Source organism: Homo sapiens, chromosome 10 (genome assembly GCF_000001405.40).
Source record: "Homo sapiens chromosome 10, GRCh38.p14 Primary Assembly".
Classification (NCBI taxonomy): Eukaryota; Metazoa; Chordata; class Mammalia; order Primates; family Hominidae; genus Homo; species Homo sapiens.
In genome coordinates, this window is record NC_000010.11 from 86,529,390 (window position 1) to 86,556,277 (window position 26,888).

Below are 26,888 nucleotides of genomic sequence, written 5' to 3' on the forward strand. Positions count from 1 at the left end.
CTGTATGCTCAGCACCCAGAACAGGCTGCACAGTCCAGTGTGGTAGCCATGAGCTGTGTGTTCACTGAGCACTTGAAATATAGCTAGTCCAAGTTAAGAAGTGCTGACAATGTAGAACACACACTGGATTTCAAAGGCTTCCTACAAAAAAAGAAAATAAAATATCTCGATACTTTTTACACTGATTAAATGTTGAAATGATTTTTTTATATCAAGTTAAATAGAATATGTTATTAAAGTTAATATCACCTGTTTCTTTTTACCTTTATTTAATGTGGGTACTAGAAAAAATTAAGTTACCTTTGTGGCTTGCCTTATATTTATATTGGCAGCACTGATATCAAAGCTCAGTAGCTGGGCGCAGTGGCTTATGCCTGTAATCCCAGCACTTTGGGAGTCCGAGGCAGGGTGGGTGGCTTGAGCCCATGAGTTCAAGACCAGCCTGGGCAACATGGTGAGACCCTGTCTCTACAAAAACTACAAAAATTAGCCAGGTGTGTTGGCACATGCCTGTAGTCTCAGCTACTCAGGAGGCTGAGGTGGGAAGGTCGCTTGAGCCTAGGAGATTGAGGCTGCAATGAGCCGTGATTGTGCCACTGCATTCTAGCCCAGGTGACAGAGCAAGCCCCTGTCTCAAAAAAAAAAAAAAAAAAGCTGGGTAAATATTTGTTAAAGAAAAATATTAAAAATGAATTTACCAAAAGAAATGAGCTGTCAGGCTGTGAAAAGATATGGAATCTTAAATGTATATTGCTGAGTGAAAAAAGCCAGTCTAAAAAGACTACATACTATATGATTCTAACTACTGTATATGATGTCTGGAAAAGGCAAAACGATGGAGAGAGTAAAAAGATCAGTGGTTGCTAGGGGTTCAGGAGGAGGGGAGAAGAGAGATGGATACCTGAAGCACAGGGGACTTGTGGAGTGGTGAAAGAATTCTGTAACACTCCAGGCACACTGGCTCATGCCTGTAATCCCAGCACTTTGGGAAGCCGAAGTGGGCGGATCACCTGAGGTCAGGAGTTCAAGACCAGCCTGGCCAACATAGTGAAACTCTGTCTCTGCTAAAAATACAAAAATTAGGCATGGTGGTGCATACCTGTAATCCCAGCTACTTGGGAGGCTGAGGCAGGAGAATTGCTTGAATCTGGGAGTTGGAGGTTGCAGTTAGCTGAGATCACACTACTGCATTCCAGCCTGGGCAACAGAGTGAGACTCTATCTCAAATTAAAAAAAAATAGCTGTAATACTGAATCAGTGGATATATGACATTATAAATTTGTCAAAACCCATAGAACTATACAACACAAAGAATGAATTCTGATGTAAATTAAGTTAATGATGTATCAATATTTTAACAAATATACCACACTAATGCAAGACTTTAATAATAGAGGAAACTGGCCGGGCACGGTGGTCACACCTGTAATCCCAGCACTTTGGGAGGCTAAGGCGGGCAGATCACCTGAGGTCAGGAGTTCAAGACTAGCCTGGCCAACATGGCAAAATCCCATCTCTACTAAAAATGCAAAAAATTAGCTGGGCATGGTAGCGTGTGGCTCTAGTCCCAGCTACTTGGGAGGTTGAGGTGGGAGAATCGCTTGAACCTAGGAGGCGGAGGTTGCAGTGAACCAAGATAGTGCCACTGCACTCCAACCTGGGCGACAGTGCAAGACTCCATCTCAAAAAAAATAAATAATAGAGGAAACTGGGGAAGGGGGTTGGGGAGGGAGGTATATGAGAACTCTGTACTATGTGCACACTTTTTCTATGAATGTAAACTTGTTCTAAAAAAGTCTATTTTTAAAAAATGAGTGTACTGTTCTTGCACAGCCCCCAGAATGATATTTCTAAAACATACATTTGAGAAATCACTTCCCTCTCCTAAAAAAAAAAAAAAAAATTTTTGCTCCCCACCATCTATGGGAAATAAGTTCATATCCCATAGGCATGAGTAATTTGCACTGGCATTTATGGTTATGTTCCACCCTGCCATACCTCTCTTTCCCTCCTCTCCTGACTAGCTGGGCTAGACTACTTGACTCCATGCCCAGCTCATGCAGTCCCCTCTGTCTAGAACTTCTTTCTCCCTCTGCACTTGTGGAGCCTCACACTTATGGAGTCATACACTCTCCCGTAAATGAATCAGTCATCCTCTAGTCCTTGGTTCCACCAGTTCTATGTTAAAAGAAGATACGGGCCAGGTGCCATGGCTCATGCCTGTAACCCAGCACTTTGGGAGGCCAAGTTGGATCACTTAAGGCCAGGAGTTCCAGACCAGCCTGGTCAACATAGTGAGACCCTGTCTCTACTAAAAATTTAAAAATTAGAGCCAGGCCTGGTGGCTTACACCTGTAATCCCAACACTTTGGGAAGCCGAGAAGGGTGGATCACGAGGTCAGGAGATTGAGACCATCCTGGCTAACACGGCGAAACCCCATCTCTACTAAAAATACAAAAACAAAATTAGCTGGGTGTGGTGGTGGGCGCCTGTAGTCCCAGCTACTCAGGAGGCTGAGGCAGGAGAATGGCATGACCCCGGGAGGCGGAGCTTGCAGTGAGCCGAGATCACGCCACTGCACTCCAGCCTGGGCGACACAGCGAGTCTCTGTCTCAAAAAAAAAAAAAAAAAAAAATTAGGCCAGGTGCAGTGGCTCATGCCTGTAATCCCACACTTTGGAAGGCTGAAGTAGGTGGATCATTTGAGGTCAGGAGTTCAAGACCAGGCTGACCAACATGGTAAAACCCCATCTCTACAAAAATGCAAAAAAATTAGCCGGGTATGGTAGTGCACGCCTATAGTCCTAGCTACTTAGAGGGCTGAGGCGGGAGAATCGCTTGAACCCGGGAGACAGAGGTTGCAGTGAGCTGAGATTGTGGCACTGCACTTCAGCCTGGGCAACAGAGTGAGACTCCATCTCAAAAAAAAACAAAACCAAAAAATTAGCCAGGTGTGGTGGCATGTTCCTGTAGTCCCAGTGAGGCAGGAAAATATGGTCTGGAGGCAGGGAACAGAAGGCCAATTCACACTTTAGCTATAACAGGAAATATCCTCTCCATAGGGCATACGCCATAAATGACTTTGTAACTTTACTTCATCCTCTCCATTTACATAGGGTGTACCCGAAGTAACCAGTGGAATCCTCTGGGGGTATTTAAACTCCCAGAAATTCTGTAATGGGGTCTTTGAGCCTCGTGCTCTGGCCAACTCCCACACCGTGGACTGTACTTTGATTTTCAATAAATCCCTTCATTCCTTCCTTGCTTTGTTTGTGCGTTTTGTCTAATTATTTGTTCAAGACACCAAGAACACGGACACCCTCCACTGTTAACATATTTCTGTTAACACCAGCTACTTGGGATGCTGTAGTGGGAGATCACTTGAGCCTAGGAGTTGAAGGTTACAGTGAGCTATGATTGTGCCACTGCACTCCAGCCTGGGCAACAGAGCTAGACCCTATCCATCTTGAAAAAGGTTTAAAAAAATAAAAAGATACAGCAAAGCAAACATACGTTTTGGTCATTTTTGTGCTTCTTTCTAGTAAGAATTTAGAAGATGGATATGGGCCAGGCACAGTGGCTCACACCTGTAATCCCAACACTTCGGGAGGCCAAGGCGGGCGGATCACCTGAGGTCAGGAGTTTGAGACCAGCCTGGCCAACATGGCGAAACCTTGTCTCTACTAAAAATACAAAAATTAGCTGGGTGTGGTGGCTGGCGCCTGTAATTCCAGATACTCGGGAGGCTGAGGCAGGAGAATCGCTTGAACCTGGGAGGCGGAGGTTGCAGTGAGCAGAGATGGCTTCACTGTACTCCAGCCTGGGCAACAAGAGTGAAATTCTATCTCAAAAAAAAAAAAGAAAAAGAAAAAAAAAGAGGGTCTGTATATTCTATATATTAATCTTGGAAATGTTGAAAAAGAATTCTGATAGCCATGAGTGGGCAAAGAATTAATAACCTTGAGATGGAAACAGTGGAAGCAGAACAAGGCTATTGAATGTCAGGGAAAATCTGCTTGGGCTCACTTTCTAGGTGAGAGGCAGCAGGACACCCAGTTAGGAACAAGATCCCAGCAGTGAGGCCCTGCTCACTGACTGCTGACTGCTTGCCCATAATGACATCAGGAGAGAAGCCTCTGGGGTGTCACCTGCTCTGAAAGCCAATCTGCTTCTGAATGCTGCTTGCCCAAGCAAGGATGCCATGGCCATACAGTTTCAGGTATTTAACTTCCAGGGCATGACTGAGTGGAGGTGGAGTTGGCAGCAACATTACCGATGTTGCGGTCTCTACCTCCAAACTGTGGAGCCTCAGAAGAGAGTGTGAGAACAAAGGCAAGCTCCAGCTACTCAGGAGGCTGAGGCAGGAGGATCTCGTGAGCCCATGAGTTCAAAGTTACAGTGAGCTATGATCATGCCACTGCACTCCCACCTGAGTTACAGAGCAAGGCCCTGTCTCTAAAAAAAAAATTTTAATGAAAGAACAAAGGCAAGCAGCCTCCTAGGTGCTGAGTTGCTTTATTCTTACCTAGGGAGAAGGCTACCATTTACTGAGCCCTATTCTTTGCCAGCCACAATGCATATTTCCCTGCATTGTAATTTACATTGTTATTTACATTGTCATTGATGTCTTGTCTCCTTAACAGAGCTGCATCATCCTACCACTTCTCTGATAAGAATCTTAAGGAATACTGTACAATGGTAAATGACTTGCCTAAAGTTACCCAGCTGATTAATGTGACAGAGCCAGAGTTTTAAACCAAAACTATCTTTCTCCAAAGGTTCCAGGCATGAAGCATGTGCTGTCCTGGGCCCTGAATATCAAGCCAGGTAGAGGAACCCCATCCTTCTGTTGTCATTTCAAGCTAGAGGCTCAAGCCTGGAGGAGTGAGGATCAAGATCGAGAACTCAAAGCTGTTTAGAGGAAGAAGCCAAGTTCAAGGAGGAGTGAGGAACGGTAGGTGGAGATGCTTTGGCCTGGGGAGAGATCAGGTATTTGTGAGCAGCAAAGGTAGGGTGGCAGACAGACATCTACCAGGCCAGGTTATTGAAGTCAAGGTCACAGTGCCTTGTCTTAACCAGGCCATGTCTCTTTTTGCCCTGCCCACTTGGTTCTTCACAGCATCCAGATGTATTGCTGGGGCCTGGAGGGAGCTCCTCCACCATAAGCGGCTCTTCCTCCCTTCACAGCATCCCACGGCTGGGCCATGGGCTCTGCAACTGGCCCTTGGGGCAAAGAAAAGGGAGGAACTGTGCTTTCTGAGAAGTGCTCAGGAATAACCTGATGAGGGTTTCTTCGTGTTAGGAACTCCAGCATCTGAGTGGGCAGAGGAGCTCTCCGGCTTGCCCCCATTCCTCTGATGCGCCCCTAGCCTGGCCCATAGTTTGGGTTGTTTGGGCAGCCCTGCAGATTCCCTGAGCTGAGGGGCCTCTCTCTGGAGAGTGGGAAAGAATTCTGGCCTTTGTGTAACTGGCTTTATTATGTATGAATGTTGGCTCCCTTGGTTGAAAAATGATCACTCTATTGGGTTCTCCCAGCTTGAGGCGAAACCTTTTGGAAGCTCAGGAAGCTTGGAGGATTTCGTGGATTACAGAATGTTGAAGTTGGAGAACTGTAGAGGGGCCTAAAAAATGTTCCAGAATCAAGACGGTGCCTGATGCCCTACCTAGCCCCTCTCCAGCACACAGGAGCCCCGGGCCCTTGGCAATCATGTCTGCGCAGCTTGGACCCCATATCCAAAAGGGGAGCACGCCCCAATTTACTCTCACCCCACCAGGTGAGTGGAGGGCAGGTGACCTGCCAGTTCTCGAAAGAAGCCAGATGACTAACTTTGGTCGCCTTATCACAGGTTAATCCATGAGAAGAGCTTGGAACAGCGCCCGGCAGTGTCTCAGCGCACCCAAAGTGTGTGCAGGTATGATTACCATTGCCAGTAGCTGAGCTGGGAAAAGGATCTGACTAGATAATTTTGGCAATAACTCGACAACTATCCAATGTGGACAGGGAAACGCATGCCAAGGTTTCTAAAAAGCTCCCGCTGTGACACTCTCTGTGTCCTCCCCGGGCGTGGCGGCCTCCTGGCCAGGGACACCCGACCCCGCGTGGTCCGGGCTACCCAAGGACGTCCCGAGGCGTGGCGGAGACTTTGGCGGCTGAGTGCAGGCCGGGCTGCGGCCCAGCGGGACCTGGGCGAGGCCTGCGACCTGGGCGGGGCCAGGGTTGGGCTCTGCCAGAGCTGCGCCGCAGCCGCCCTGCCCGGGCCTCCCCGCCCCCACCTGTGACCTGGATTCCGCGGTTCCTGCGCGGGGGTGGAGGGCGTAAAGGACACGCGCAAATAAAGGTCTGTGGCCCAGGAAAACTTCAAGTCCTGAAATCGGTGCACCAAGGATACTTTAAGGCGAGGGGTCGGGGCTGTGTAATCATTTACCCGGTTCGTCCGTGTACACCGGCCTCTCTAGCTTACACCAACACATGTTTACTGGGTTCGCACCCAAGCCAGAGTCGGTTTGTTTAGTAATCCCACAGACGCTTCTGCCCGTTTTCTAGGAGACGGATCTGGGCCGAGGGGAGGCTTCAAAACATTAACATTTCTTTTTTCTTTCTTTCTTTCTTTTTTTTTTTTTTTTGAGACGGAGTCTCGCTCTGTCGCCCAGGCTGGAGTGCAGTGGCGCGATCTCGGCTCACTGCAAGCTCCGCCTCCTGGGTTCACGCCATTCTCCTGCCTCAGCCCCCCGAGTAGCTGGGACTACAGGCACCTGCCACCACGCCCGGCTAATTTTTTGTATTTTTCGTAGAGACGGGGTTTCACTGTGTTAGGATGGTCTCGATCTCCTGACCTCGTGATCCGCCCGCCTCGGCCTCCCAAAGCGCTGGGATTACAGGGGTGAGCCACCGCGCCCGGCCAAAACATTAACATTTCAAATAAATGCCCCCGGATTTGGGGGCGGGGTGCCTTAGGCTGCTTCTCCCCCAGGACTCCCCTTTGCACTGGGGTCACCCTGGGCATTACCTTGGGGCTGCCTGGGCCGCCTTTGTTGCGCAGGTGACCTTCCCGGCCGGGCCAGTGTCCCGGCTGCTCTGAGGGACAGTCCTGGCTCCGAAAGCGGGCGCCAGCGCTGAGCCAGGGCCCGCTCGAGATCGCATCGTCTCTGCTTTCAGTCGTTGTCCGCGCGGTGCTGGGGCCTCCCGGGACCCGGGAGCCGCGGCGGATTAGGCCGCCCGCCCCAACCTGGGCTTTGATCTTATCTGAGACTTGTGAGTCCAAAAGGGCTTAGCAACCGCAGCCATGGCAGCCCCAACGACGTGAACATCCGCACCTCTGAGCCTCCCCCTGAGAAGTACCTTCGAGGTGAGGCCTGCGCAGCCCCAGGAAGAGGGTGTGGGCGCAAACCTGAGGTGGGGAGCAAGGCCCGCCGGCTACACGGTTCCTGCCATCCTCGCTGCGCCCTTTCTCCCATGCTCGCGGCCTCCATCCGGCAGAAACTGGCACAGCAAACCCGACAGCCACAGACCTGTGGCCCCTTCCTTCCCTCCTCGCCTCCTCGGCAACCCTTGAAAGCACTCGAGTACGAAGTTATAATTGCAATTATAATTAGCTGAGTCCAACTTGGGCTTCCCCAGGTCTTGGCTTCCGTTAGGACAGTGTCCCGGGTCTCCCTGTCCTGCGCAGCCCCAGTTCCCAAGAAATAGTTGAATGAATGGATGTTTGCATCCCGTACCCAGCCTCAGGCTGTGTACTCCTTTCTCCAAGCACAGAGATTCTTCTGGAAGGCCCCAGGGATGGTGGAAAGGGAACTAGGCGTGAGGTTTGGTAAAATGAGGACAATACCAGCACCCCTCCACCTCCCCTTCCGAGAGAGGGATTTAGGAGGCACAAGTGAGATAGCCACACGACTCCTGACCAGTTGGCAAGCAGAAGGTCCTGGGCAACCTGGGTTTCATCTCGTGTTGTCCAGAAGCCGCAGTGGGTCTCCTGATGCAGAGCCTGCGTGGCAGTGTTGTTACAGTGGGTAGCGGCAGACATAAGCAGGGCAGGAGAGCCCCACCTCCAACCCTAGGAATATCAGAAGACCATCACGTGATCGTCAGGAGGCTGTTAAGCTGTCTAAAATAGTAATTGATCTCATCCAGCGCCAGAGAAAGGCAGTCTCCCCAATAGATAGAAAAACCCAAAACTGGTGATCAGCTTCCTAATTAGATCTCAGGAGTTGGGCGAGTAGGCTCAAGCATGTGAACTAAGAGACAAAATGGTGGAGTTGAACTGGCATATGAGTTCTCTCTGGGAACACTCAGCTGGTAAGAGAAAAACACCTCGTGAGCATGCACACCACTTCAGTAAACACACTGTGCCAGAGGCCCCTCCCAAGTAGTGGCAGGCCACCTCAAAGGAAGAATCAGGGGAGAAGGGATGCAACCACCCCACACACCCACCAAGCATGCCAACTTATAAGATTCCAAGTCAAAGGCCAAACCGTGCACTTGAATCTCTCAAGTCGCCCACTTGGCCCTCTTCCAAGTGTACTTTTAATTTTGTTCCTGCTCTAAAACTTTTTATTTTATTTTTATTATTTTTCGTGTGAGAGTCTTTATCACCCAAGCTGCAGTGCAGTGGTGCGACCTCCACTCACTGCAACCACCACCTCCCAGGTTCCAGTGATTCCCCTGCCTTAGCCTCCCAAGTAGCTGGGATTACAGGCGTGCACCACCGCGCCCAGCTAATTTTTGTATTTTTAGTAGCCATGGGTTTTCACCACTTTGGCCAGGCTGGTCTTGAACTCCTGACTTCAGATGATCCACCTGCCTCGGCCTCCCAAAGTGCTGGTGTGTCCAGAGTTGGTTTGTGGTCTCGCTGACTTCAAGAATGCAGCCGGGGACCTTGGCAGGTGAGTGTTACTGCTCCTGAAGATGGCATGGACCCAAAGAGTGAGTAGTAGCAAGGTTTCTTGTGAAGAGCAAAAGGACAAAGCTGCCACAGCGTGGAAGGAGACCCAAGCGGGTTGCCACTGCTGGCTGGGGGTGGCCAGCTTTTATTCCCTTATTGTCCCCACCCCACCCACGCCCCCCACCCCCACCCCCACCCACGCCCCCACCCACGCCCCCATGCCCCACCCCCCACTCTCCCCCACTCCCCCTGCTCCATGTTCCGTTTCTGTCCTATCAGAGTGTCCTTTTTTCAATCCTCCCCGCAGATTGGCTACTTTTAGAATCCTGCTGATTGGTGCGTTTTACAGAGTGCTGATTGGTGCGTTTTACAATCCTCTTGTAAGACAGGAAAGTTTCTAATTGGTGCGTTTTATCATCCTCTTGTAAGACAGGAAAGTTCCCCAAGTCCTCACTCGACCCAGGAAGTCCAGCTGGCTTCACTTCTCACTGGGATTACAGGCATGAGCCACCGCACCCGGCCATGTGCTTTTACTTTCATTCTTGCTCTAAAACTTTAATAAAACTTTCACTTCTGCTCCAAAACTTGCCTCTCTCCCTCCCCATCTTATGCCACTTGGTGGAATTCTTTTTTCTGAGGAGGCAAGGATTTGCCACCACTTACAGACTTTGGTGCCTACATTCCCTGGTGCTAACAGCCTCAACCTTTGAGAAACAGATATGTTTATTTTATTTTATTATTATTTTTTAACGAGACGGAATCTTGCTCTGTCGCCTAGGCTGGAGTGCAGTGGCACGATCTCGGCTCACTACAACCTCCGCCCCCGCCCGGGTTTAAGCAATTCTCCTGCCTCAGTCTCTGGAGTAGCTGGGATTACAGGCATGCGCCACCACACCTGGCTAATTTTTGTATTTTTAGTAGAGACGGGGTTTCACCATGTTGGCCAAGCTGGTCTTGAAGTCCTGATCTCATGATCCGCCCACCTCGGCCTTCCAGAGTGCTGGGATTACAGGTGTGAGCCACTGCGCCCGGTCAAGACATGTTTTGTTAAGTCTCTGTCACCTGAAAAATGTGCATGTCCTTCTGGTTTTGTGTGCACCTTGTTTCAGGCTCCCCCATGAAGTTTGCCCAAGCCCAGGTTTAGGAATCTTGTTCAGCATCTTCCTGATACCCACTTCCCTGCTTGTGCCCCTTGCTGGCCCACTTGCTGTTCCCCAGCAGGCGGCTTGGGCTGTACAGCTAGTTTCTTACTAGCAGTGAGCTTGGCTGTGGGAGTATCCCCTTTCTCTACACCCATCCCGACCCAAATTATTTCTTTCACCCTTCCTCCGCGGCAGCCAGGGGTCCTCACCTCCCAGCCTCACCAGCAACTGGGTGAGCCTTCTGATGTGGGGCCCACTGCCTAGGGGTTGTCTGCGTCCCCATGGCTGACACACTCCTGGGGCAGGGCCTTGACTTCACTTTATATCCTTCCCTCTACCCCGTTAGGCCAGTGGATTCTCACAATTCATAGCATTACCTTGCTGACTGGGCAGTGCTCCAGGACACCTGTGATGACTTCACTTCCAAGGTAATCCGCCAAATGTTCTTTTGACTGGAGATGCCACCAAGAAATCTCCAGACATTGGAAGGCATGCATAATAAATCCTAGGACTCAAAAACCTTGCAGGATTCTTCCACATAAAATGAGTGGTAAGGCTGGAGAACTACTTTGGGGCTTCCCACGTTGAGGGCTCTGCTTATATCCTGTGGGCTGCTCCACAGCAATGGAGTGAGACGCTCAGCAGATGCTGATGGAGGCCTTTCGTGTACCAGGCAGCAGGTTGGGGGCTGGAGGTCTCCAGAGCAAGTTGGGGCTGGGGAATCTAAAACAGCTGGCAGCCATAGTGTCTGTTTTTCAGAAGCACTTCCTGCTCTTCCTGAGCCGCTCTAAAGGTTTAAGATTTCTTTCGGCCCCTCCCACAACATTAGCTTCTCCTTCCTTTGTGCACTTGTTTCATCAGTGCCCACCTGAGCCAGGCTGGTACCCACCTGAGCCAGGCTGGTACCCACCTGAAGGAAGGCCGCCAAACAGCATCTAAGCCTGACTGCCAAAGGAAAGGCAGGACAGGGATTCTGAGGTTGGACACAGGCCAATCTGAGGTGCTTGGCCCTAGGGACGCAACAGTTTTTTGTTGTTGTTTGAGACAGAGTCGCGCTCTGTCGCCCAGGTTGGACTGCAATGGCGCTGTATCAGCTCACTGCAACCTCCACATCCCGGGTTCAAGCGAGTCTCCTGCCTCAGCCTCCTAAGTAGCTGGGATTACAGGTATGCCACCACACCCAGCTTATTTTTGTATCTTTAGTAGAGACAGGGTTTCACCATGTTGGTCAGACTGGTCTCGAACTCCTGACCTTGTGATCCTTCTGACTCGGCTTCCCAAAGTGCTGGGATTACAGGCATGAACCACCACGCCTGGCCCGCAACAGTTTGTTTGTTTGTTTGTTTGTTTGTTTGTTTGTTTGAGATGGAGTCTTGCTTTGTCACCCAGGCTGGAGTGTAACGGCACCATCTCGGCTCACTGCAACCTCCGACTCTGGGTTCAAGTGATTCTCCTGCCTCAGCCTCCCAAGTAGCTGGGATTACAGGCGTGTGCCACCACGCCCAGCTAATTTTTTTGTATTTTTGGTAGAAACAGGCTTTCACCATGTTGGCCAGGCTGGTCTCAAACTCCTGGCCTCAAGTGATCCACCTGCCTTGATCTCCCAAGGTGCTGGAATTACAGGCGTGAGCCACCGTGCCCGGCCTTCAACAGTTTTTAAATTAAAAAAAAAAAAAAAGGCTGGGCACAGTGGCTCATGCCTGTAATCCCAACACTTTGGGAGGCCAAGGTGGGCGGATCACGAGGTCAGGAGTTCAAGATCAGCCTGACCAACATAGTGAAACCCCACCTCTACTAAAAAAATACAAAAAATTAGCCAAGCGTGGTGGCAGGCGCCTGTAATCTCAGCTACTTGGGAGGCTGAGGCAGGAGAATTGCTTGAACCCGGGAGGCGGAGGTTGCAGTGAGCCGAGATGGCGCCACTACACTCCAGCCTGGGCGACAGTGCAAGACTCCGTCTCAAAATAATAATAATAATAATTTTTTAACGATCATTTTTGTTCTTTAGTGTAGCAAAATATAAAAAATAAAAATTATACCTAGCTATCTCTCAGATCTTCATTCTAATACCATTCTCTAATAAAAGGAACTAGGGCCCCTAGGAGAAACTGCTGATTCTAGGACTGGGGGTAGGAAATACATAAGATGATCCTGGAGTACCTTGTAGTGTCAGAAAGTAAGGGAGTACTAAAAAACAAAAACCTAAAAATCCAATGCTGAGGCTATGTCAAAAAAACGAATGAGCCAGGCGCAATAGCACACGCCTGTAATCCCAGCACCTTTGGGAGGCTGAGGCGGGTGGATTGCTTGAGCTCAGAAGTTCAAGGCCAACATGGGCAGCATGGTGAAACCTCATTTCTACAAAAACTACAAAAATTAGCCAGGCATAGTGGCACATGTCTGTGGTGCCTGTCTGTAGTCACTGTTACTCAGGAGGCTAAAGTAGAAGGATCACTTCAGTCCAGGAGGTTGAGGCTGCAATGAACCAAGATCGCACCCCTGCACTCCAGCCTTGGCAACAGAATGAGACCCTGTCTCAAAAACAGCAAAAACAAAGACAAATGGAAAAGAGCTCCCAGTGGCCAAAGCAGGAACAATTTAAGAAACAAAATCAATAATATTGGATTATGAACCAAAGTATAAAATAAATATCTGTGAGTCTGTACCAATATAAATACATGATTGAATAGATAAAAGGAGAATTACAGATAAATCTCCCATGCAGAAGAATACCAAATAATTAATATGGCTACTGTGCCCTCAGGGAAGGGAACATTACTCCACACTCCTTCAGTGTAGGTTGTACTTAGTGACTTCCTTCCAAAGAGTACATATAGAAAAAGAGAAAAAAAAACTGCATGGAGAAATCTGACAAATACTACCTCAGCCAAGTGATCAAGTCATTGATATGTCATATTGATAGGTCATTTTGAGAGTATATACCCTAAAATACAAAAATTAGCCGGGGGTGGCAGTGGGCACCTGTAATGCCAGCTACTATGGAGGCTGAGGCAGGAGAATCACTTGAGCCTGGGAGGTGGAGGTAGCAGTGAGCCGAGAGAGATCAAGATCGCACCACTGCACTGCAGCCTGGGCAACAGAGAGACTCCGTCTCAAAAAAAAAAAAAAAAAAAAAAAAAAAAGGGGAGAGTATGTACCCTTGATATGATGTGATGAAAATGGGACTTTGGGACTTTGGTCGGGCATGGGGGCTCACACCTGTAATCCCAGCTCTTTGGGAGACTCAGGCTGGTGGATCACGAGGTCAGGAGTTCAAGACCAGCCTGGCCAATATGGTGAAACCCCGTGTCTACTAAAAATACATAAGTTAGCTGAGTGTGGTGGTGCATGCCTGTAGTCCCAGCTACTCGGGAGGTTGAGGCAGGAAGAATTGCTTGAACCTGGGAGGCAGAAGTTGCAGTGAGTCGAGATCACGCCACTGTACTCCACCCTGGGCGACAGAGCAAGACTCCATCTAAAAAAAAAGAAGAAGAAAATGGGACTTTACCTTGTGGTTCTACTCCTAAAAATCCACACCCTTAGTTCAACCATGAGAAAAACACCAAATAAATTCTATTAGATATACTACAAAACACTGAACTTGGCCGGGTGCAGTGGCTCACGCCTGTAATCCTAGCACTTTGGGAGGCCAAGGTGGGCAGATCACTTGAGGTCAGGAGTTCAAAACCAGCCTGGCCAACTGGTGAAACCCTGTCTCTACTAAAAATACAAAAAAATTAGCTGTGCATGGTGGTGGACGCCTGTAATCCCAGCTACTCAGAAGGCTGAGACAGGAGAATCACTTGAACCTGGGAGGTGGAGGTTGTAGTGAGCTGAGATCACGCCACTGCACTCCAGCCTGGGTGACAGAGCAAGACTCTGTCTCAAAAAAGAAAAAAAACAAAACACAACACAACAACAACAACAAAAACACTGAACTTAAAGTACCCCTTAAAATTGTCATGGTCGGCCAGGTGCAGTGGGGTCATACCTGTCATTCCAGCACTGTGGGAGGCTGAGGCAGGTGGATAGTTTGAGCTCAGAAGTTCAAGACCAGCGTGGGGAACATGGTGAAACCCCATCTCTACAAAAAATACAAAAAAATTAGCCAGTGTAGTGGTGCACACATGTAGTCCCAGCTACTCAAGAGGCTGAGGTGGGAGGATGGCTTGAGCCCGGGAGGTGGAGGTTGCAATGGGCCAAGATCAGTCCACTGTACACCAGGCTGGGTGACAGCCAGACCCTGTCTCAAAAAAAAAATTGTCACAGTCATTAAAATAAGGAAAGTCAGACAAACTGTCCCAGCTAAGAGCAGCTTAAGGGGACGTGACAAGTAAATGTAATATGGTATCCTGGATGGGCTCCTGCCACATGAGAAGGCTATTAGGTAAAAATCAAGAAAAGCTGAATAAAGTATGGACTTTAGTTAGTGATATTATATCCATATTTGTTCATTAATTTTAACAAGTATACCATACTAAGGTAAGATATTAATAATAGGGGAAACTGGATGTAAGGTATATGGAAATTTTCTGTACTATTTTGTCAATTTTTCTGCAAATCTTTTTTTTTTTTTTTTAGATGGAGTTTCGCTCTGTCCCCGAGCCTGGAGTGCAGTGGCGTGAGCTCGGCTCCCAGCTCACTGCAACCTCCACCTCCCGAGTATCTGGGATTACAGGCGCCCACCACCATGCCCGGCTAGTTTTTGTATTTTTAGTAAAAACGAGGTTTTACCATGTTGGCCTGGCTGGTCTCAAACTCCTGACCTCAAGTAATCTGCCGGCCTCAGCCTCCCAGAGTGCTGGGATTACAGGCATGAGTCACCATGCTCGGCCAATTTTTCTGTAAATCTAAAACTGTTCTAAAAATAAAGTCGGTTTATTTATTTATTTATTTAGAGACAGAGTCTCACTCTGTCACCCAGGCTGGAGTGCAGTGGCACAATCTCTGCTCACTGCAACCTCCGCCTCCCAGATTCAAGCGATTCTCTTGCCTCAACCTCCCGAGTAGCTGGGACTACAGGCACGTGCCACCACACCCAGCTAATTAAGTCTGTTATTTTTAAAATTACATCTGTTTGTTTGGGTTTGATTTTTGAGACGGAGTCTTGCTCTGTCACCTAGGCTGGAGTGTAGTTGCACAATCATGGCTTACTGTAGCCTTCACCACCTGGGCTCAATCAATCCTCCTGCCTCAGCCTCCCAAGTAGCAGGGACTACAGGCATGCACCACCATGCCCAGCTAATTTTTATATTTTTTTTTTGTAGAGATGGGTCTCACTGTGTTGCCCAGGCTGGCTGGCTATTTTTTTCTGTTTTCTGTAGAGACAGGGGTCTCACTATGTTGCCCAGGCTGGTATCAAACTCCTGGACTCAAGCAATCCACTCACCTCAGCCTCCCAAAATGTTGGGATTACAGGCATGAGCCACCACACTTAGCCTAAAAGCTACATCTGTTTTAATATGAACTACCTAGTACCTGGCAAGAAGATGGGCTGAGGGGAGGTCCTGCAGACTGAAGCCTCAGAGCCTCAGAGCATCCACCTCTGTTAGTGCATCCAGTATTCCTGACATAGAAAGAGGAATATTATCCTATTTTTTTTTTCCAGACAGGGTCTCACTGTGTTGCCCAGGCTGGAGTGCAGTGGTGCGATCTCGGCTCACTGCAATCTCTGCCTCCTGGGTTCAAGCGATTCTTATGCTTCAGCCTCCTGAGCAGCTGGCATTACAGGCGCCTGCCACCATGCCCCCCTAATAATCCGGCGAGGGATACTATTCCTTTTTAAATGACTGGCAGTTAGGACTGTTTGTTTTGTTTGCAACAACCATGTAAAGGCAAAGCCACCCATGTGGTTTGGAAGGGCAGGAACTGGTCCTGTGCCAAGGTGTGCCTTCTCTCTCTGTGGTGGAGGGGGTGGTGGGGCCTGCAGGGAACTGGGCAAACTCAGGCCCTGCCAAAAGGGATGACAGATGCTCCCCTCCAGCTGACAATAGCCGTGGGACAGAGAGGACCCAGAACTGCCAGATCTTTCCATATTTCAAAAGAAATGATTAATCTAGCTTTTCATGTGAAGTCTCCTGATTTTTAAATGTTGCCAACTAATTCTAACTTTATTTAAACACTGCTCACTATATAAACAATATTCATCTAGCTCACTATACAATACACATCCAGGCAAGTGCTACCTAGATTGAGTTACTCAAGGGCGGGATAATCTGGCTTTATTCTTTCTGTGACCCTCAGGACCCTGCACAGCACCTGATGCGTGATTCCTACTCCAAAATATATATGGAATAGTGAACAAAATAATACAGTTAGGGAAATGAGACATAAATATATTGACAATTATTTATTTATTTATTTTGATATGGAGTTTCACTCTTGTCATCCAGGCTGCAGTGCAATGGCATGATCTCATTTCACTGCAACCTGCATCTCCCGTGTTCAAGTGATTATCCTGCCTCAGACTCCCGAGTAGCTGGGACTACAGGAACGTGCCACCATGTCCAGCTAATTTTTGTATTTTTGGTAGAGGCAGGGTTTCACCATGTTGGCCAGGCTGGTCTTGAACTTCTGACCTCAGGTGATCCTCCCGCTGCGGCCTCCCAAAGTGCTGGGATTACAGGCTTGAGCCACTGTGTCCAGCCTATATTGACAATGATCAAACATGAATAGAATGGGTTGTGACACAAATAACCACCATGAATCTTCGTGATTCTCCCAGCAATTCAGTATTGATTTTGATTTACAATTTTGGCATAGATAATTAGCTCCAGGGGTTTCCACTTGGATGTCTTCATTGCATGAACTAAGGGGGTATTGTGATTCTCACAATAGCTATATATGGCTATTCAGGAAAGTGGGAATAACTCCAGAATGGTTTTGAGCATGTATCAGTCAGCTTAGGCTAAGTTATACTGAAGTAACAAATGACCCAAATGTCAGAAGCTTACAATGAAAATTTTTCTTTCTCGTACTGTATGTCCATCTTGGAGTAACTTCAGCTCTGCTTCAGGCCATCTTTATTTGCGTACCCAGGCTGACAGTAGGCCCAATCTAGATGTTGCCAGAGGAAAAAGAGAGATGGCAAACCACACACTGCCTTAAACCTTCTGCTCAGAAGTGACATGTCACTGATGCTCACATTGCATTGACCAAAGTAAGTCTGCCCTCTATGGAGGATGGATGTGTGGTTTTTCCACAGGGCAGTAACACATTATATCACAATTGGCCTTTCTGGTCTCTGATATCTGGCGTATCTCCAGGCCTGATGTCATTGGGACAGGGAAAGCCTATAGTGCCTCAGAATCAAGCTAAAACACCATTTGTCACCTGATCACCATAAACTCAATTTCTACCAGTGGATCAAAGAGGTGTTCTGGATCCCCAGAAAATAGAGTTAGAGCTCATTATAGTGTCCCATAATCTCAGATAAAATTATTTTTTTCCTCCACTGCACAGTTAATCTGGAAAAAGCTTGTAGGCCTGTAGTGGTTAATTATATGTGTCAACTTGACTAAGCCGTGGGTTGCCTAGATATTTAGTTAAACATTATTCTGGGGGCCTGGCACGGTGGCTCACACCTGTAATCCCAGCACTTTGGGAGACCAAGACAGGCGGATCAGGAGGTCAGGAGTTTGAGATGAGCCTGGCCAACATAGTGAAACCCCATCTCTATTAAAAATACAAAAATTAGCCGGGCATGGTGACGCACACCTGTAGTCCCAGCTACTTGGGAGACTGAGGCAGGAGAATCGCTTGAACCCAGGAGGCAGAAGTTGTGGTGAGCCGAGATCATGCCACTGCACTCCAACCTGGGCAACAGAGCAAGACTCCATCTCAAAAAAACAAAACAAAACAAAACAAAACAAAAACTTTATTCTGGGTATGTCTGTGAGAGTGTTTCCAGATGAGATTAGTATTTGAACCAGTAGACTTAGTAAAGCAGATGGCCCTCTCCAATGTGAGTGGAACTTATCCATAAACTTTACTGTTTCTACTTGACTGTCTGTGACCTGGGACATCAGTCTTCTCCTGTCTTTGGACTGAGTCATGAACTAGAACTTACACCATCAACTTTCCTCGGGCTCCAGCTTGCTGACTACAGGTCTTGGGACTTCTCAGCCTCTATACTCATGTGAGCAAATTCCTTTTAATAAATCTCTTGCTGGGCATGATAGCTCATGCCTGCAATCTCAGCACTTTGGGAGGCTGACATGGGCAGATCGCTTGAGTTCATGAGCATCCTGAGCTAAACAGTGAAACCTCCTCTCTACAAAAAGTACAAAAATTAGCAGGGCATGGTGGTTTGTGCCTGTAGTCCCAGCTACTAGGGAGGCTGAGGGTGGCAGGATGGCTTGAGCCCAGAAGGCAGAGGTTGTAGTAAGCTGAGATTGCACCACTGCACTCCAGACTGGGTGATAGAGCCAGATCTTGTCTCAAAATAAATAAATCTCTATGTGTGTGTACACACAAATGTATATATATGTATATATATAAACGTATATATGTATATGTATGTATATATGTATATATACACATATATGTTATATATACACACACCATATATATATATATATTTATTTATTTATGGTTCTTTTTACTTGGGGAACCCACATTAATACAGATTTCAGTACTAAGAAGTGGGGTGTTGCTGTAACAAATACCTAAACATATGGAGGCACCTTTGGAACTCGACAGTGGGGAGAGGCTACAAGAGTTTTGAGGTAAGTATTAGAAATATGGGCATTAAGGGAAATCCTGTTGAAGTCACAGGCAGAAATAAGGAACGTGTTATTGGAAACTGAAGGAATGATGATCCTCATAATAAAATGGCAAAGAACTTGGCTGAATTTCAATTTTCCTGTGTTTTGTGGAAGACAGAACTTGTGGGTGATAAAACTGGATATTTAGCTGAGGAGATTTCTAAGCAAAGTGTTGAAGGAGTGGCTTGGTTCCTCCTCATTGCTTACAGTAAAGTGTAAGAAGAGAGAGATGACTTGAAAAAGGAATTGTTAAGCAAAAAACACCAGAACTTGAAGATTTGGATGGTCTTCAGCCTGTTTGTATTGCAAAAAATGAGAAAGCTTGTTCTGAAGGAACACTAAGGGTGTGACCAGACTATAACTTTGCCAGTTTGAATAAAAAGGGACAGATATGGGATGAAATGAAGAAAAACTGTGGGACTTCTTAGATTCTGTAAGACAGGACAATGGAGCTATTTGGCTGCAAAATGTGTGTTTTTCTTCAAAAAGTTGGAAAAATGACCTTGAGAACCCCAATGGTGATTCAGAGACCTGCCTCAATTTCAACTGGCTAGATGGCCACCACTTAAAGTCTTGGGGATGGAATCATCATGCAAAGCCTTCAGACTAGGCTGCCCAGAGCCTTGGAGGTCACACCCTGCCTGGCAGAGCTGCAGAGGCAAGACCACTGTCCCAGTGAGCCCTCAAGATGGACCAGCACCCCAGTGGGTCTACACAGCACAGCATCAAACCAAAGAGGATTATTCTCAGACTTAAGATCAAATGGAACACACCTTGCTAAGTTTTGGACTTGCTTAGGTCGCATCACCCTGTCCTTCTTTCCTATTTCTTTCTTTTTTTTTTTTTTTTTTTTGAGACAGAGTTTCGCTCTTGTGCTGGAGTGCAGTGGCACAATCTCGGCTCACTGCAACCTCCACCCCCTGGGTTCAAGCAATTCTCCTGCCTCAGCCTCCCTGGTAGCTGAGATTACAGGCATGTGCCACCATGCCCAGCTAATTTTGTATTTTCAGTAGAGACAGGGTTTCACCATGTTGACCAGGCTGGTCTCGAACTCCTGACCTCAGGTGAGCCACCTGCCTCGGCCTCCCAAAGTGCTGGGATTACAGGTGTGAGCCACTGCACCTAGCCTCCTATTTCTTCCTTTTGGAAGTTGTAATGTTTATCCTATGACTTTCCCATCATTGTATTTGTCTGGTTTCACAGGTTGAACACTGGAGAGGAATTTTGCCTTAGGATGAAGAACACCTCAAGTCTCACCCATACTAGTCTAGATGAAACTTTGGACTTTAGACTTTAGAGCTGGTGCTGGACTAAATTAAGACTTTTGGGACTGGTGGGATGGGATGAATGAATGAAAAATACAGTTTGAGCTACGGTAAACCTCAGTGCACTTTTAGGGTGCCAGGGGCATAATACTATAAACTGAATGTGTTCTCCCCAAAATTCATATGTTGAAACCCAAACCCCCAATATGATAGTATTTAGAGATGTGGTCTTTGGAAAGTAATTAGGGTTAGTTTAGGTCATAAGGATGGGGCTGTCATGATGGGATTATTGGCCTTATAAGAAGAGGAAGAGAAGGAGATCTCTCTCTTCACATACATGCACCTCGGCCATGTGAGGGTGTAGCAAGAAAGCAGCCATCAACAAGTCAGGAAGAGAGAGATGTACAGCCCATCATGTTTCTACAGGTTCAGGTATAACTGAAAAACTCGAAGTCTGGCAAACAGAGGCTTGACTCAAGCCATCATGATAAAAAGAAACAGTTTTTGTCCCAATTTCCAAGCCCGAGTCAGCTCTCAGGTCCAGAGCCCCTTGAATAAATGCACCCTGAAGGAAAGAGCCTACAATAACTTTCTGAGTATACAGTGTAGCATTTCCTCCAAGCCTTTCCTTAGGAGGCCTTGTGTTAATCAACTTGGGCTGCTAAAACAAAATATGATAGATTGGGTGGCTTAAACAACAGAAATTTAACTCTCAGAGTTCTGGAGGCTGGGAAGTCCAAGATCAAGGTTCTGGCTAATTCAGTTCCTGGTGAGGTGATTTTTTTTTTTTTAATTCAAATCATTTTCATTCTGTCATTCACATGAGGAACCCTGGTTGAGAAAGGTTGCACTAAAGTATTAGGGGATAATCACAACAGCAACTTACTCTCAGATGCTTCTTGGTTGGGAGGCGGGGGGAATCTGAGATTATTTCAAGTCTAAAAAAAAAAAAGAAAGACAAAGAATATGCTATAAATTCTCAATCTAAAGCATGGTCCAGTGACTCTCTGTGATTGTGTTAAAAGAATAGCTACAGGGCTGAGGTAGCCAAAAATTAGACCTGAAATTTGAGCAATAGTTTGATAAATGACAGTATCGGTTGAATTCATAGCCTCACCAAGTTCCTTAGGTTGAAGTAAAGGCAATGATGAGTAAATAGAAGGATTCTCAAAAGTGCACTGAGGCTTACAGTACTGCACTGAGCCTTGGTTGTCTGAGGAGTCACCTTGCCTGAAGAGTTCTTAGAGACCTCACTAGAGGAATGACCTGCCAGAGGAGTTGAATTCTGTACATCCCCACCCAGTGCTGAATCCAGACCTACTACTAGAACTGTGGTTCTCAATTTCAGCTGCACATTGGAGTCACCTGGAAGGCTTAAAAAACACTGGATCCTATCCCCAAAAATTTTGATTTAATTGGTCTGGGTTCTAATGTACTTATTTATTTATCTATTTATTTTTATTTATTTATTTTTGAGACAGAGTCTTGCTCTGTCACCTAGGCTGGAGTACAGTGGCACAATCTCAGCTCACTGCAGCCTCCACCTCCTGGGTTCAAGTGATTCTCTTGCCTCAGCCACCTGAGTAGATTACAGGCATGCACCATCATGCCTGGCTAATTTTTGTGTTTTTAGTAGAGACAAGGTTTTGCCATGTTGGCCAGGCTGGTCTTAAACTCCTGGCCTTAAACTCCTGGTCCTTAAACACCTTGGCCTCCCAAAGTTCTGGGATTGCAGGCGTGAGCCACCACACCTGGTCCAATTATTCTTTTTGTTGTTGTTGCCGTTGTTGAGACAGAGTTTCACTCTTGTTGCCCAGGCTGGAGTGTAATTACGTGATCTTGGCTCACTGCAATGCTGCCTCCCAGGTTCAAGCAATTCTCCTGCCTCAGCCTCCGGAGTAGCTGGGATTACAGGCATGCCCCACCATGCCCGGCTAATTTTGTCTTTTTAGTAGAGATGGGGTTTCTCCATGTTGGTCAGACTGGTCTCGAACTCTTGACCTCAGGTGATCCGCCTGCCTCGGCCTCCCAAAGTGCTGACATTACAGGCATGAGCCACTGTGCCTGGCCCTAATTATTCTTAATGCATTTATTTGTATGATCATTCTCCTGTATGTCACCCATCTTCCAATACTGCTGCCACCCCCATATAAGCACAGACACCCTCCTCAGACACACTTGGGCTTCAACTCCTCAAGCCAGCCTGTCTCTCCCACATGGATGCCTTCTTTATCCTGCTCGGGCTCTGAACATCTATGCCCGGTTTCCCAGCTCTGTGTATGTCCTCCTTACTCTGCTCAGGCTTTGAGACCACATACCAGCCTGCCTCTCCACATGAATGCTCTCCATAGCAGTCTTAAAATTATTTGATACATCACTCTTCAAAAGGTGCAGCCTACTTCCCCTCCCATTCATTGTGGGCTGGATTTAGCAACTGACTTTTAATGAATACAATATGATGGAAATGATACTATATGACCCTCTAGGCTAGATTGTAAAACGGATAACTTCTTTTGTCTCACTCTCTAGACATGCTCACTCTAGAAGAAACTAGTTGCCATGTTGTGAGGATACTCAACAGTCCTGTGGAGGGGGCCACATGTAGAAAGACCGCATGTGGAAAGAAACTGACTTGCTAGCAGCAACTTTACAGGTATGTATGAAATAAACCACCTTGGAAGAAGATCCTCCAGCCTCTCAGTCAAGACTTAAGAGAATTTCAGCCTTCAATCATTTAATCTGCCAGCCAGGACCCCAGACACTGCAGAACAGAGACAAACATTCCTGCTGTGCCCTCTCTGAATTCTTGACCCACAGGAACTGTGAGACAGTGAAAGATTATTGCCATTTTGACCTTCTAAGTTTTGGTGTAATTTCTTTCTTTTTTTTTTTTTAATTGAAACAGAGTCTCGCTCTGTTGCCCAGGCTGGAGTGCAGTAGTGCAATCTCCGCTCACTGCAACCTCCACCTCCCAGGGCAAGTGATTCTCCTATCTCAGCCTCCCGAGTAGCTGGGGTTATAGGTGAGCACCACCAGGCCCAGCTAAATTTTTTGTATTTTTAGTAGAGACAGGGTTTCACAATGATGGCCAGGCTGGTCTCGAACTCCTGACCTTGTGATCTGCCCACCTTGGCCTCCCAAAGTGCTGGGATTACAGGCATGAGCCACCGTGCCTGGCCTAGTATAATTTCTTATGCAGTAAGAAATAACTAATACACTTTCATTACCCTGCTCAGAATCTGTTATGGTCTGAATGTTCCCCCAGGATTCGTGTGTCAGAAACTTAATCTCTAGTGCAACAGTGTTAAGAGGTGAGGCCTTCTTGGAGGTGTTCAGATCATGGGGGCTCCACCCTTATGAGTGGATTAATGCCTCTGTAAAAGGACTTGGGATGGGGGTTCCTTCCCTCTTACCCTTCCACCTTCCACCATGTGAAGACACAGCAAGAAGGCCCTTTGCACAATGCCAGTACCTTGATCTTGGGCTTCCCACCCTCTAGAACTGTGAGAAAAAAATTTCTGTTTTTTATAAATTATCCAGTTTCAGATATTCTGTTACAGCAGTGCAAAACAGACTAAGACAGGCTCTCATACTCTCACCAAGCTACTCCTCTGCAGCGATGCCCTTCTCATCCTTCTCATGCTAGATCACCCTCCTATGTAAACACCCTCCTCATCCAGCTCAAGTCCTGACTCTGAAGGCCATGCAGCCCTCCTATCGTAATGCCTTCCTTACCCCACAAGCCTCCAGCATCCCGCTCCGTGCCTCCATAGCTCCCTCCTCTCCGGGCACAAATGCCTTTCTTGCTATGTCTTACCTAATGCCCTTAGGATTAAACTTTTCGGGAAACAAAGAAGATAAAAGAAGGGAAGGATTGCTTATCAACCTCTTTCCTTAAATTGCCCAGCAGAGTTCAAATCAATGGTGACACCCATAGTCCTTGAATTACTCATTTCCTGTATGCTGTTTTGGGTGGCAGCCCCTGGATCCCTCAGAGCCTTGCCTCAGTGAGTACTTCATTAAAGGCAACCCTAAACAACAGTTGCATCGCTTCTTTCATCACCTCGTGCCCTAACTTACAAGTTCCCATCCCTAAATGATTATTGTATTAGTTATCTCTTGATGCGTAATACATTACCCCACAGTTTAGAGACTTAAAACAACACACACTTGCGATCTCACAGTGTTGGTGGGTCAGGAATCTGGGCACAGTTTGTGTCCTCTGTGCCAGCTCTCACAAGGTGGCAGTCAAGGTGTCAATTGAGGCTGCGTTCTCATCTGAAGACTGGGGATGGATCTATGTTCAAGCTCACTCACCTGCTTGTTGACGGGATTCAGTTTCTTACAAACTGTTGGCAGGGATCAACCTCAATTTCTTGCCATCTGGAGCTGTCCAGCATGTCAGCTAGCTTCATCAATGCATGCAGACACAGAAAGCGTAGAGAAAGACAGAAGTCACAGTCTTTGATAACCTAATCATGAAAGTCATATCCCATCACTTCTGCCATATTCTTTTTGTTAGAAGCAAATCATTGGGTCTGGATTACATGGGTGAACACCAGGAGGCAGGAATCTTGGCGAGCCATCTTTTTTTTTTTTTTGAGAGAGAATCTTGCTCTGTTGCCCAAGCTGGAGTGCAGTGGCATGATCTCGGCTCCTCTGCCTCCCGGGTTCAAGTAATTCTCCTGCCTCAGCATCCCAAGTAACTGGGATTACAGGCATGCACCACCACACCCGGCTAATTTATGGTGAGCCATCTTAAGGGCAACCTACCACAGTAATCTTCAACCCTATCTAGGGTAGAAAACCAGTCGCATGTCTTCTCCATTCCCCTGAGTCTATTGCTTATACCTCATACCTCCGTATGAATTGCTTTTCTGTGTAGGATTCTTGGTTACAAAATTAAAAACTGATTCTGCTTAACTTAAGCAAAAATGGTCTCTATAAAATTAGACTTAGAGGCTGGGCACAGTGGCTCACATCTGTAATCCCAGCAGTTTGGGAGGCCAAGGCAGGCAGATCATGAGGTCAGGAGTTCGAGACCAGCCTGGCCAATATGGTAAAACCGTCTCCACTAAAAATACAAAAATTAGCTGGGCGTGGTGGTGCATGCCTGTAGTCCCAGTTACTCAGGAGGCTGAGGCAGAAGAATCTCTTGAACCCTGGAGGTGGAGGTTACAGTGAGCCGAGATCACGCCACTGCACTCCAGCCTGGGTGACAGAGCAAGGCTCCAGCTCAAAAAATAAATAAATAAATAAATAAATAAATAAGACTTAGAATTCTAAGAATCTTTTTATATTCTCAAGAATGACCACTAGGTATGTAGTGAATACATCATGGTTTTTGTTTGTTTGTTTGTTTGTTTTCTTTAGAGACAAGATCTCGCCATATTGCCCAGGATGGTCTCAAACTCCTGGGCTCAGGCTATCCTCCCACCTTGCCCTCCCAAAGTGCTAAGATTACAGGCGTGAGCCACTGCACCCAGCCCATCGTGGTTTTTTGAATGAGTGAGTGAAAGGATAAATGTAAAAGTGAATAAATTAACAAAATCTCCAGTAGTAAGTGCGTGTTATCTGGTGGCATATTTGGCTTGGGAAATCCCTTAAAAACGGGAGCTGTTTTATTTATTTATTTATTTAGGTTTTGTTTTTGAGACAGAATCTCACTCTGTCACCCAGGCTGGAGTGCAGTGGCACGATCTCGGCTCATTGCAACCTCCGCCTCCCAGGTTCAAGTGATTCTCTTGCCTCAGTCTCCCGAGTAGCTGGGATTACAGGCTCATGCCACCATGCCCAGCTAAGTTTTGTATTTTTAGTAGAGACAGGGTTTCACCATGTTGGCCAGACTGGTCTTGAATTCCTGACCTCAAGTCATCCACCCACCACGGCTTCCCAAATGCTGGGATTACAGGTGTGAGCCACCGCACCCAGTGGGAGCTGTTTTAATAACAGGATATCTATGCATTCACTTGGAAAGTTGTCAACAATATATTATGAGGTGACAAAAGTATGTTCTAGAACATTTTTTTAAATTCAGATACATTTAATTCCAAGAAGTTGTCAACTTTTCAAGTGTCGAATAACAAAATCCAGGGCAAGGTCATGGTGGGGCTATCGATTGGTGATTTGGAGATTTTTAAGAGGATTAAAGAATAGCAGTCTCACAGGAGGCATTGGACACCCCAAAGAGAATCAATATTGGTGGCTCCACCAGTCCTCTGAAAAAGAGAGTTTATCAATTTTTTATTGCTCCGCATACATTATCCCAAAATATAGTGACTTAAAGCAACAGCAGTCATTTTATTACCTCACTCTGTTCCTGCAGTTGACTGGACTCAGCGAGGCAATTCTTGCTGGGATCTTTCAGGCAGTTGTAGTCAAGCCACGGTTGGGGCCTGCAGGCTTCCTCACAGCTGGGGTTTCAGCTAGATCACCTATATATGCCTCTCTCTGTGTGGCCTAGGTTTCCTTGCATCACAGCACCTGGATCTATGTATGAGTGTCCCAAGGAGAGAAAGCCTGGGTGGCAGCTGATCTGCTCTTATAACCTGGCCTCAGAAGTCATGTTGCGTCAGTTCCTCTGTATCCCATTTATTAAAAGCTAATTACTAGAAGCAGCCCATATTCAAGGGAAGGGAAATTGGACTCCATTCTTTTTTTCTTTTTCTTTTTTTTGAGATGGAGTTTCACTCTTGTCACCCAGGCTGGAATGCAATGGCACGATCTGAGCTCACTGCAACCTCTGCCTCCCAGGTTCAAGCAATTCTCCTGCCTTGGCCACCCGAGTAGCTGGGATTACAGGCACCCACCACCACACCTGGCTAATTTTTGTATTTT

The 26,888-nt window shown here is 47.0% G+C and overlaps 2 long non-coding RNA genes across 4 annotated transcripts, besides 2 other annotated features; one reads left to right on the forward strand and one right to left on the reverse strand.

The window, feature by feature from the left end:
* LOC105378408 (uncharacterized) lies at window positions 4,446–22,977 on the forward strand. Of its 3 annotated transcripts, none has more exons than XR_946163.3 (4): window positions 4,446–4,954; window positions 5,536–5,774; window positions 5,847–5,912; window positions 22,581–22,977. It is a non-coding gene; the product is annotated as an uncharacterized LOC105378408 (long non-coding RNA). The 3 variants fall into 3 exon arrangements; XR_001747525.2 differs by lacking the exon at window positions 22,581–22,977 and having other exon boundaries at window positions 4,446–4,698; window positions 4,779–4,954; window positions 5,847–6,356; XR_001747524.2 differs by lacking the exon at window positions 22,581–22,977 and having other exon boundaries at window positions 5,847–6,356.
* Window positions 6,193–6,432: a silencer, noted in NCBI's record as "silent region_2571". NCBI's record gives its function as "represses an Ori minimal core promoter by ATAC-STARR-seq in GM12878 lymphoblastoid cells {active_cell/tissue: GM12878}" and the evidence as "EXISTENCE:reporter gene assay evidence [ECO:0000049][PMID:35858748]".
* Window positions 6,667–7,216: an enhancer, noted in NCBI's record as "H3K4me1 hESC enhancer chr10:88295813-88296362 (GRCh37/hg19 assembly coordinates)". NCBI's record gives its function as "activates a minimal SCP1, AML or CMV promoter by ChIP-STARR-seq in naive H9 embryonic stem cells {active_cell/tissue: H9 hESC(naive)}" and the evidence as "EXISTENCE:reporter gene assay evidence [ECO:0000049][PMID:30033119]".
* Window positions 16,638–26,765, reverse strand: LOC105378407 (uncharacterized). The gene is made up of 4 exons (XR_946161.1): window positions 26,359–26,765; window positions 24,369–24,460; window positions 20,938–20,989; window positions 16,638–16,667 (listed from the first exon to the last, which is right to left on the reverse strand). It is a non-coding gene; the product is annotated as an uncharacterized LOC105378407 (long non-coding RNA).
* Between the last annotated feature and the right edge of the window lie 123 nt (window positions 26,766–26,888).